The sequence below is a fragment of the Homo sapiens genome, chromosome 18, assembly GCF_000001405.40.
Source record: "Homo sapiens chromosome 18, GRCh38.p14 Primary Assembly".
NCBI lineage: Eukaryota > Metazoa > Chordata > Mammalia > Primates > Hominidae > Homo > Homo sapiens.
In genome coordinates this window covers 70,014,199-70,026,357 of record NC_000018.10, presented here as the reverse complement: position 1 = coordinate 70,026,357, position 12,159 = coordinate 70,014,199, and the positions used below count along the sequence as shown (strand labels likewise).

At 39.7% G+C, this 12,159-nt stretch overlaps 1 protein-coding gene across 14 annotated transcripts in view, besides 2 other annotated features; it reads left to right on the top strand.

The window, feature by feature from the left end:
* Positions 1–12,159, top strand: part of RTTN (rotatin) — a 202,657-nt gene that overhangs the window by 179,330 nt on the left and 11,168 nt on the right. For 11 of the 14 annotated variants that reach the window (NM_001318520.2, XM_047437468.1, XM_017025693.2 and 8 more), the window contains 3 exons: positions 1,510–1,636; positions 5,541–5,743; positions 8,684–8,951. In NM_001318520.2, coding sequence (NP_001305449.1) covers positions 1,510–1,636; positions 5,541–5,743; positions 8,684–8,951 — 598 coding nt within the window. The other 3 variants (XM_006722435.4, XM_011525904.4, XR_430072.4) reach the window with 3 other exon arrangements.
* Positions 1,242–1,301: a silencer, noted in NCBI's record as "silent region_9539". NCBI's record gives its function as "represses an Ori minimal core promoter by ATAC-STARR-seq in GM12878 lymphoblastoid cells {active_cell/tissue: GM12878}" and the evidence as "EXISTENCE:reporter gene assay evidence [ECO:0000049][PMID:35858748]".
* Positions 1,312–1,361: a silencer, noted in NCBI's record as "silent region_9538". NCBI's record gives its function as "represses an Ori minimal core promoter by ATAC-STARR-seq in GM12878 lymphoblastoid cells {active_cell/tissue: GM12878}" and the evidence as "EXISTENCE:reporter gene assay evidence [ECO:0000049][PMID:35858748]".

Sequence of the window (12,159 nt, the reverse complement as noted above, 5' to 3'; positions counted from 1 at the left end):
GCCCCCAAGATATAAACACCTCCCACCAGGCCTCACCTCTAGCACTGGGGATTACAATTCAACATGAGATTTGGGCAGGGACAAATATCCAGACTCTTATCAGAAATGATCCAGGATAGAGCAGCAGCGGGGAAATTAAGAGACATATAGCAAATGCCACCGTGCTTAAGCGTTGTTGGCAACCACAAAAGTAGAAGCGGCCTCAATAGAATCATCAGGGCAGAAAATAAACGGTAATGAGCTAAAGATTAAATGTGAGGCAGGGAAATTACAGCAATAATAATGTAGAAGTTTGGTCATGAATAGTGGCATTAATAATTTAGGACATATAAGATGAAAGGAAATGAGTATGTTTGTTTCTCTTAACACGTAAACTACTTGAATACAGGCACAGAAATGAGCAAATTGGGGACGAGTTGTTTAAGAGATAGCAAGAGGAGAACTAACTGGTGGATTAAGATCCCTGAGGAGGCAGGAAGAGCTGTGTTTCAGAACACAGATGGATGTATCAATCTCTGGCAGGCAAGAAGTGGAACACCTCTTTGTCACTACCGGGCAGACAGGAAGGATGAATGGATGAAAATACAGATAAACTATGTGGACAGAATGGCAGAGTAGATAAAGGAGTTTGTACTTAATCGTTTCTGTCTTCTCTGTGAAATAGTAAACAAGGTCATCTGCTGCAGATGGAGGGCCGTGTGCCACAGAGAGTGGTGAACAAGGGAAGAACTTTAGGGAGAGCACTGGGAATGACTTCAGTGCTTACGGAGAGTGTTGAACATTGGGAATCACTTCTCTTCTGCCACTTGATGCTATGTGAAATCGTATAGGGTGTGTGTATTTATGTGCATGCTCACGTGCATAATCATGGGTCTACAAATTACCTCGGAATTCTTGTTCATTTAAAATAGATATTGCTGCACTTAAACAGCTATATTTTATCTGCAATATTGTCCCAGGGTAACTGATCTTTGTAATAAAGACTCTGAGTTACTTCAGAATTTTTCAATTTATCATAATATTTAGACTGAATTTTATATATTCAAATTACTCAAAAACTGTAATTTACTTTGAGTATATACACACATACACAGAGAGAGAGAAGGAGAGGGAGAGAGGGTGGGCAAAGAGGACTCAGAGTTGATCAGAATGTTTACTTAACCAGAAATTCTCACTTCTTGGCCAGTTCATAGCATTTACAGGAATTTATTCAGTGTTGTGAGATATCACTTTGCTGTTTAATTTACATGTTACACAGGCTATTTTCTATGCTTCCTAACTTAGTGGTACATCTTAACCACCCTGGTGTTGAAGCGACGTCCTGAGATTGGTCAGGCTCGTGGTCAGGGCAGCCATGTGTGGAGCCCAATGGGGCTGGGGCAGGATGCTGAAGCCATCCACAGGGTTCTCCTTGGGTCTTATGTTGATGGCTTTCTGTTGTTGTTTTGATTTTAATGTTATATTTTCATATATTCAGACTAATGCTGTCTTTTTCCCTTCCTTCAACAGGAAGCAGCTCTTGAAGCTCACCTTGTCCCTGTCTTGCACTCTCTCTGGCCTTGGATTTTGATGGATGATTCATTGATGCAAATTTCTCTGCAGCTCCTTTGTGTCTATACTGCAAATTTTCCAAATGGTAATAGGATCCAATACTGCCTTTCAATAATATACCAAAATACTAGTTTTATAAATGTTGTTAAGGTGGACTGGAAAAACTAATACATATTTTGAAGTATTTCTCTGATTTATTGAGGATATGATGGGCAAAGGCAAGCTTTCTCGTAGGTATTATGAGAGCAGACAGATATTTTAGTGTGTTTGTTGACATGAGAGAGTCATTGGCAGCGCAGGGAATAGAGAGGGAGGACTGGTCTGATTATCTGGCAATGGGAAATTGAGTTTAGTAGGAAAATTGAGAGGATAAAAATTATGATGTAAGACCTCAAAAGCCACGTGAAGGTTAGAACTTCTCATAGATTCTAGAGCAGGAGACTGGCATGTTGAAAGTTCTCATAACAGTTGGTCTGGTGATACTTGATATCACTAGGGCTCCTCTTTCGCTCATGCACTTGATAGACACTTTATCAAGAGCCTGTGGTGGGCCATGCATTGTGAGTTCTGGTGAGAGTGATCTGAAATGAGATAGGAGGACAGGTCATGTAGGGCCTCAGAGGCCAGAGTAGGGAGTTTGGATTTTTATGTGAGTGTAACAGGATGACATTGGCAGTTGTAAGCTGGTGAGTGGCATGATTTAATTTGTGTTTAAGAAGGATTAGGCTGGGTGCAGTGGCTCATGCCTGTAATGCCAGCACTTTGGGAGACCCAGGCAGGCGGATCACTTGAAGTCTGGAGTTTGAGACTAGCCTGGCAAACATGAGGAAACCCTGTCTCTACTAAAAACACAAAAATTAGCCAGGCATGATGGTGCATGCCTGTAGTTCCAGCTACTCAGGAGGCTGAAGCAGGAGAATCACTTGAACCCAGGAAGCGGAGGTTACAGTGAGCCGAGATCACGCCACTATACTCCAGCCTGGGCAACAGAGTGAGACTCTGTCTCACAAAGAAAAGAAAAGAAAAATTGCCCTGGGTGGTATGTGGAGAATGAATGATTGGGAGCAAGTCTAGAAGCAGGGAGACTTGTCATGGAGATATAATGGTGGCTTGGGCTTGAGTGGTAGCTGGAGAGATTGAGAGAAGTAGACAGATTCAGTATATAGCTCAAAGGTAGAGTCAAGGATACCTGTTGTGGGAGGTAGGAAGGAAAAAAAGGTGTCCGGGGTGAACTTCATTTGGAGAAATGAGCCTGAGTGCACAGTAGTGCCATTTACTAAAATGGGGAAGATTTAAAAGAAGCAGACTTGAAGTGAGAAAGTAGTAGGAATCAAGAGTTCTGTTTGGTCTTGTTAAGTCTAAGGTGTTGATGTTCACTCAAGTGAAAATAGTAAGCTGGAGTTGAATTCAATGGAGTGTAGAGATAAGTTTGAAGATTTCAAATGTTGGGAATATTATTAGTTATTTATTGCTACAAAAGAAATTACTCTAAAATTTAGCATCTGCAAACATTAATCATTTCATTATGCCACGGCTTCTGTGGCTCAGGAATCTGGGCGTGGCTAATCTGGGTGGTCCTCGCTCAGAGTCTCTGCAATCATCTGAAGTCTTGACTGGGATAGAGGATCCAGTGTGACTATGGGAGCCTCAATTCCTTGCTACTTAGGGCTGTCTCAAACGACCCAGAATGAGTGGGCTGAGGGCAGAAGTTATAGTCTCTTATAATCCAGTCTCAGAAGTAACTGAACAGCACTCCTAGCTCTTGTGGGTCACACATACCAACCCTGGTACAGAGGCAGGCGCCACTGGGACCATCTTGGAGGCTGGCTACCACAGGAGTCATTGTCATGTAGATTGTACTTAAAGCCACGTGGCTGTTTGCGATTACCCAGGGAGAATGTGTAGATGGAGAAGCAGAAACCCATGACCAAGTTCTGAGGCACATCAACATTTGGAGTTAATCAAAAGATGAGAAACCAGCAGAAAAAAAAGAGAAGGAGCAGCCAATGAGATAACAGTGCACAGTCACAGAAAGTCAGAGAAGGGCATGCTCAGTTGTGTGGAATGCTATTGAAAATTCTGCTAAAGTGAGGATAGAAAAAATGGCTGTTGGACTTAGCAGTATTGATGTTCTTTTGGACCTTGAGGGTAATTTTAGTGCAGTGCCAGAACAGAAACCTACTTAGTGTGAGCTGAGGAGAGAAGATGAAGAAGTAGAGGAGACAGCTTTTCCAAAATGTACTACTCTTAAGAGGACAAAGAAATGGAGCAACAGCAAGAGACAGATGTGGAGTCAAAGGAGGAGTTTTTGCTCGTTTTTAAAGATGTATGTTTTTAAGGCATGTTTATTAACTTAAGGGATTGGGAGAATGAGGTGCAGGAAAGAGTGCAGGTAAGAGCCCAGCCTGAGAGGGTAAGAGAGGTGAGAGCTAGAGCACAGCTGACAACAGAAGCGGAGGGAAGGCTGAGAGGAAGGATGTGGATTTAGGAGGGCTGGTAGACTTGATGGGAATGATGAGAAAATTCCCATTTTGAATACTTCTGCTTTCTTCATTTAGGAGAGAACACTGACCACTAAGAATGAGCAAAGACAAGGAGTAGAGGTGATGTGAGAAGAGGAGAAAGTGTGAAGTAGCTGTTTTTAGAGGAAGGAAAGTAAACACACCAGAGAAGCAAAGTAGGATTGCTGGCAGTGTTAAGTACCACTTATGGTCATAAATTTAAGAAAATAAATTAGAATTTATGGTCATAATTTATGGTCATAAATTTAAGATTTAAATTTTATTAAATTTATGGTCATAAATTTAAGATTTGACTAGCAAGTTTTTGTACTTTCTTCTAACAACACTCAGTAGCCCAGCAACTGGGGTCTCTGAATATCAAAGGTTATACAGAGAAGGGACTGGAACTCACAACAGTTAAGGAGCCCATCTAGTTACTGCCAGATGCTGTTGATGGCTTATTCCTTTGAATAATCTGCCAGATGCTGATGATGGCTTATTCCTTTGAATAATCTGACACCTCTGGAGCTGTCCATTTCGATACCCAACTCAGGTTGTCTCCAGTCAGCACAAAGAGATATAAACAGACCTTCAAGCTCTTGAACTTGAACTGTCATTGAAGCATATGTGTACAGGATTGTCCTTGCCTTCATTCTGTGCTGTTAACTTTCTCCATTCCTTAGGTCTGGTGGGAATGTCTCCTTTCAGTGCATTTTCCAGCTCCACTAGTATATCTTTTGTTTGTTTACTCATCTTTTATGAGTTTCTTTTACAGAATGTATTTGATTCTGATCAGTTTATACTTAAGTTGGCCTCCTCGTATGAACTTTCACAAGTCAATTATACCTTAGGTTTATGTATAATACAGTCTTATTGATTTAACATTAAAATATATTTCTAATTTTTTTTTCTCCCTCAATAAGTCTCATTCAGTTACTTAATTTCCTGAGAAACACTGAACCCTGGAAAGCCTGTAGATGCCACTTTTGGCTCCTGCTATGCTAAGCTGTATGACCTTGAACAACAAACTGGCTTTTCTGAGCTCCATATCTTTGTTGACCAAATATAGAAAATAGTATTTGTTTTGTCCGCTTTCCCAGGGATATTATGTTCCTTATTTGTATGTTATGTAAAATGAAGGCATTAGACAAGTTATCTCCCATTTCTAAAATTCTGTTCCTTTACACAGGCCTTTATTTAGATGTTTTCTTTAGCAACTATTAAAAACCCTAGTATGTTTATTTTATTCTTTTTTTAAAAATAAACCTGGTGTCTTAAAGTGCTTTAGTGAGATAATTAGGCCCTCAGTGAGGACAGTATATCTATTAGGTTGACTGTAGACACCAACATTAGCCTCCATTGCTAATTTGCAGTTCACAGGTTAATGGCCTAGTCATTTTGTTAGACAGATATGCTTTGCCACTTAGTGTCTTCAAAAACTAAACAGGGAAACTGAGAAGACATTGTGATAGGCTGTTATTTTTGAAGGTTGCAGTTCTCTTTGTTGGTCAAGTTGTGGACAACACCCTGTTCAAGCTACACATAGAGGAGCCGTGAGCAACTCTCTGATGCTGTGTATCCTAAAGTTGGCTTCCCAGATGCCACTGGAGAACACCACGGTTCAGCAGATGGTTTTTATGCTTCTTTCAAACCTGGCCTTGTCGCATGACTGTAAAGGAGTAATTCAGAAGGTACGCACTTAAACTCCCCACATATCTTAAAAGGGTACTCAGTGAAATAATCTTTCCAATCAAAAGTTTACAACTCAATTTCTAAGATTATTATGATTTTGAGGCATTTTATTTTAAAGGATTATAAAAGGGTTAAGAGGTTCACTTTGTTTAAAGCCAGTTGATAGATGACACGTGCAGAAGGACAGGAGCTAGAGTAGAGTCATACCATTTCCTTCTCATTTATCTTCTTAGCTTTCGGATTGTATTTTATCATTCTCAAAGATGAGGGTTTTAGAAAGATAGCCGTCTTACATTTATTGGAAATAATAAAAGTAATATATTGGTCTTTAAACAGACCAAATTGGGCAGTAACAATTTCAGTTTAATTTCATTGACAAAATGGTTTATGAAATCACAGCCCACTTCCCCCAGTTAGACTTAACTTCCTTATGGCATGTTAAGCAATTTTATGAGTTCTCTAGGATTCCAGTTCCCAATCTAGACTTCTCATCACTGATTTTAACTTAAGGTAATTTAAAAGGGATGTAATGAGTTAAATAAATTCTAGTACACATGTGCACTTATATTCTGTATTTAGATGTGTATAAACAGAATCCCTAATTGGGAAAATCCCTTCAAATTTGAATGTAATCAGATTATATACTACTTACTAGTATTGTAATTTGAGTGTTTCCATTTCTTTTACTTGAAGGCCAAGATAAATTGCAGAAGTTGAGAGCATTTATAAGAATTGAGTCTCCTTTTCCTCTACTGTTTCTTCTCCCTGAACTCCTCAGAAGATACTTTGTTATCACCACATAAATAGAAAGTTCGGTCTTTCTAAGGAAATGGAAAGATCAATCTTACCAAGGAAAGATGTTTTCAGTGGCACGTTGGAGCCAGCCTCCTACTGACTCATGAGTGTCATCTTAAATTTGCAGGAATTTTATAAAAATTCCAGTTGATGTTACATTGTTATTTTGAAATCAGCCACAGTGGGCATATCACACCACGTAATTCAGCGAACTGTACAAATCTTGGATCTTTTCTACCCTCACCACAATCAGTTGTTTATTTACCAGCACATGGCTGGATATTTTCTTCATGTATATGTTCATGTATGTCATATATGTATATATATTTGAATATATTTTCTTCATATATGTATTCATATACATGCATCACTTCCAAAATGAGACATTCTCTTGAACTGGATATATGTGATTAGCATCCATAAGAATGAGAGATTCTGCATATGTGAGAGCAGAGCGGGGGCAGTGCTTTCCACCACTTCCTTATAGAGCATGTTGGTGGGAAGCTAAGTGGGAGCACCCAGAAGGAATGTAAGTGCCAATCTCGAGTCTGGTCTGTGACTTTGAGCTGGAGACCTATTCTCTTTCAGCTTCATTTGGGTTTAACAAAATAATCTCTAAGATATGTTCAACTCTTAATCTGTTATTCTGGTGCTATACTTAAGAATATTTTGATGAAGTGTGATCAGACTCTCTTTCCAGGGACGGATTAATCAAGTCTTTTTCCTCTGCTCTAATTAGGAAATGCCTGAGACTTCCTCTGCTGCATTAAGTAATAATGAGCCCAGACACTTAACACTTCTACTTCTTCATTACTCATCTGTAGGACATAGAAAATGCAGCAGGTGGTATTGTACAACTCAGGCTCCGAAATATCCTGCTTGTTTGTTTTTTTTTCTACCATGGTATACATCTCTACATATTCTACCTGGTGTAGGAAATTGTCTGAAAACATCTTTAGAAGCAGCAAAAAAAAAAAAAAAAAAAAAAAAAAGGAGTGCCCACAGCACATTTATATTTGAGAGCACTGACATCTGCTTTATCACCCTTGTCAGTCCCAAATCCAGCAAGGGTTGAATCTAAAAACTGTCAGTTTGGCTGACAGTAGGTGTGAGTGACAGCACATGCAGCTGAAAGTGGGCATGTAATTTTACAGTTTACTTATTGTGTGGGTAATGTTGATAATATTTCTGTAGCTCATTTCATTCTTAACACTCAGAGTCCTTTTGTATAAAAACGTTAAGTTTATTTTATAGATTAAAGCCAACATCTTGATTTTGGTCTAGGAAAACCTAAGAGATAAACTGGAGTAGATTTAAACAGAGAGAGAGAAGAGTTATTCTGTGCAATCATAAAAGTTAAGTGATTGCATTTCATTTCTAAAATGTCCACCTAACTGTGGTTTCCATGCTGCCATGGGCTGCAGCTTGATGCAGCACTTTTATACTTTGCATATAGATTAGTCTAAGCAATAATTTATTATCTTTCTTATAGTGAAGGGTTTGGTGGGGTTTTTTGGAAGGGGCTTTATTTGGAGGTTGAAAAGACTCTTACAGTTCAAATAATAGAGCTTTCTCATCTGTAAGCATAATAGAATGACGTGTAGCCATCAGAAATTCTTACTTGTAATGATAAGTACCTGGGATAAAGTGAATGTAAGATGTATCTATAGATTTGATAAAAACAACAACAACACCTGTAGCTATAATGATTCAAAATACCCTCACTACTTCCAGAGTTGTTAACTAGTATTCAAGACTGATTTGGATTTTTGCCTTTTTTCCTTCCATAGGGTAGCTTTTAATAGCAAAATCACCAGAAGGCAGAGAGAAGAGAAAACTCAAGAGCCCTGAAATAATCTCCAAACTTAATTACCAATTCTAAATAATTAAGAGTTAACTATAGTATACTTCATCCATCATGAGGAAATAATTAGCAGGAATTAAAACTTGAGCACTATTTTGTTCTTCTTACCTTTTTCACTTATGCTTGGAAATAATATAGATGGAATATTCAGAAGCTATTAGAAAGGAGAAATTAATGTAGAGGGAGAGTATATCAGAATGTTAGTTAATTGGTCACCAAGGGACTAGGAAAATAATGAAAAAGATGAGAAGAAAATAATATTCTCTCTATTTATCCACAGAGTAACTTCTTACAGAACTTCCTCTCTCTAGCATTGCCAAAAGGAGGAAATAAACATCTAAGTAATCTGACTATTCTTTGGTTGAAGTTACTCCTGAATATATCATCTGGAGAAGATGGGCAACAAATGATTCTGAGGCTTGATGGCTGTCTAGACTTACTAACAGAGATGAGCAAATACAAGCACAAGAGCAGCCCTTTATTGCCTCTTCTTATCTTTCATAATGTTTGCTTCAGTCCTGCAAATAAACCCAAGATCCTGGCTAATGGTAAGTTTTCACACACACATACATTTATATATGTAGTTATTCATAGACTGTTCAGGTCAACACCAAATAATTTTATAAATAATTTTCTAGGCATTTATTAAGCACCCACTGTGTTCAAAGCACTGTGGAAGGCATGGGAATGAATCAGGCATGGCTTCAGCCTTCCGTGGGCTTCCAGGAGTCTCCTGAGGTTAGCAAATCATGTCATTCCAGTGCACATACTGGACACCTGGAGGAAGGGGAGCCGTGGACGAGGGCTCCCTGGCCTTACCTTCTGCTCCCTCTCCTCTCTCCTTGCTCTTCCTCTAACTCCAGCTCCCCTCTTCTGCATCTTCAAGCAAATGCTACTATGTCAATGAAGCCTCTCGGGAACCATGTGTTAATATAATAGCCCCGCACCCAGGGGGCCTTCTCTTTCCTCCTCCTCACTATTTCCTTTCCTGGTTTTGTTTCCCTCCGTAGTATTATCGCCATCTGATAGATTATGTGTTTCATGTATCTGTCTATTCCTAGTCTTCCCACACTAGAAGGTAAGCTCTTATGGGGTCAGGAGGCTTTTGTCTGCTTTGTTTATGTGTAGCACCTAGAATTGTGCCTGCAACTAGCGAGCACTCAATAAATATTTGATGATTGAGAGAGATCCCAAGCAGACCGGAGAGAGTTCAGGGCTTGAGATCAGATGGTGCAGTGAGCCTCGCAGAGACTTCATTCTCTGAGATGTAGGACAGATGGAGGCGAGGATTGGTAAGGATTCAGAAAAAAATTGAAGCAAAAAGAATCGGAAAGATCTTTTTCTGCAACCATGTGTTATCTCTGTGAGGAGTATGTGAATTTCGTGGGGAGTGAGTTTTATAAAAGACATGTGTTCTAGTGAAAAACAGAAGGTGGGCTCCAGACCCCTACACACCTGGTCTTGAATGCCAGCACTAGGGCATCACTCCAGCGTCGCCTGGTGCAGCCTCGCTGGGCCCAGCTTCTTCATCTATAAAAGAAGCCCACTCTTCTTGGTTTGGTAAGAATCAGTTTATAAACACACATAAAGTGCCTAGCGCTATTTCTGGTACATGATAAATGTTTAAGATAGATTCATTCTCTTGTTTTTTTCATGTTTTTCACTTAAACTTTTCTCAGAAGCATTTTTCTGTGAAATCAAGGGTTTTCTAAGTGTACGAAAATGATTCTTCTTATATTTTGTGGTGTATATAGTTGTGATTCTATTTTTCTGATAAGCATTCTGATAATCAACTGCTAGATATGATATAGAAGGATGTTTAAAGTTCAGTTAGCTTGTAGCAGACCTAACCTTACTGTGGATTTTGCACTCTGCCTTCCGGTGGCTGCTGTGCTGATGCTGCGTTCTCTGTTGCTGCGTGATGTACATCACTGGTTTTATTTCCATCCTCTCCCACTGTAGCTGCTTCAGCCCTCACATTTGTAAAATGAGGGTGATGATAATCCCTCCTCAGGGCAATGAGAGAGCCTGTGAAGTGTTTGTGACCATTCTTGGTATATAGCAGCTACTCAGTAACATCTGTTATTGTTTATTCACCTTTCTTAGAATGATTTTTTTTTTCTTTGAGGGCTACTTACTCCAGTTTATTATTGAGAGTTGGAAAAAGGTCAAGCTTTTTGAGAAGTGAAGGAGAGAAGTCTGCATTTTCCACTTCTAGACCCCTCTAGAATTATTTTTAGCATTTCTTTGTAGTCAGCAATGCTTTTTCTCCTTCATTAGCTTAAAGCAGATGGATAAACTTTGGTGAGAAGCTTCCCCTAGCCCACAGACTAGAGATCAGTGGGCTTTTCAGGCAGGGGTAAGATAAGAGACATCAGCTGTGCAGTTTCTGTGTGGAACTATAAAGGGATGTCACAGCCTATGCCTCGCTTTCCACTTGGGGATTTATGGAGGAGGCCTTAGCAGAGTCAGCCAGCTTAAAAGTCTCCCAGGAAAGGCTGCCTCTGATCGGTAGCACCCACACATCTGGTTTAAATGGTCAGGAGTGGAGTGTGCAGTGGAGCTTGACCTTGCTGGTAAAAATAGATCTGGGGCTTGGCATGGTGGCTCACAACTGTAATCCCAGTACTTTGGGAGACCGTGGTGGGTGGATCATTTGAGGTCAAGAGTTTGAGATCAGTCTGGCCAACATGGTGAAACCCCGCCTCTACTAAAAATACAAAAATTAGCCAGGCATGGTGGCGGGCACCTTGTAGTCCCCAGTAGTAGAATTGCTTGAACTGGGGAGACGGAGGTTGCAGTGAGCCAAGATCGCGCCACTGCACTCCAGCCTGGGCAACAGAGTGAGACTTCATCTCCAAAAAAAAAAAAAGATCTGGAACATTCCTTGTTTCTGGCAATGCCAGACTAAGTCTCTTCTGAAAACGACAATAACATGCTAGACAGGCTGTATTAAAATGCACCTCAAAATAATCACAAAAACTGAAAAGATAGAAACTCCCAGTCCAGTTTTGATTGAAAGTCTTGCCCAGACAAGTAAGAAGTATATAGAAAATTATTTTGCCCCAAGTGCATTTGCCAAGGTTGTATGCTTGGCTTTTGTTGAGGAGTATCGAGGGGTGAGAGGACAGAAGCCGCGATTCCCCAAAGTGGGGATTCTTACTGGCTATCCTGCTTGTATTAAGCTGGACCTCCAAAGAACCATTCTCTTAATAGATGGATGGGTCAAAAATAAGTTGGTTTCCCAAACTTCATGAAGGAGACTGTAAAGAAAAGGAAAAAAAAAATGTGAGAATGGGTACTACAGACTGCTTCTGATAGGGCTCTGCACCCAAAGTTGGCCGTGAACTTGGCTTGAGGTGTCTTCGATTGATGGTGCCTGTGGGTACTTAGCAGAAAGCAAACTGCCTTGGTGATGGATGAAAGACAAGTTCATACTGGGCCTCAGGGAACCTCTACAAATAATTTTTCAAAAGCATTAACCAGTACAAAGTTAGAGATAATCAAGCACATTAGGAGACATGGCAACATGTAGTAAGAAACAGCAGAAGAATAAAAATACCAGCTTATCTGCCCAGACTTTGAATATGGGAATTACAAAGCATGGGTTTAAAAATAACTTTAATTATACCATATTTAGATAAATAAATGACAAGCTTGAAAATTTTAGGAAATGGGAAACTGACAAGTTGAAATATTTGAAAAGAACCAAACAGAACTTCAAGAACTTTACTGTGCAGTATGATAATCAGCCAC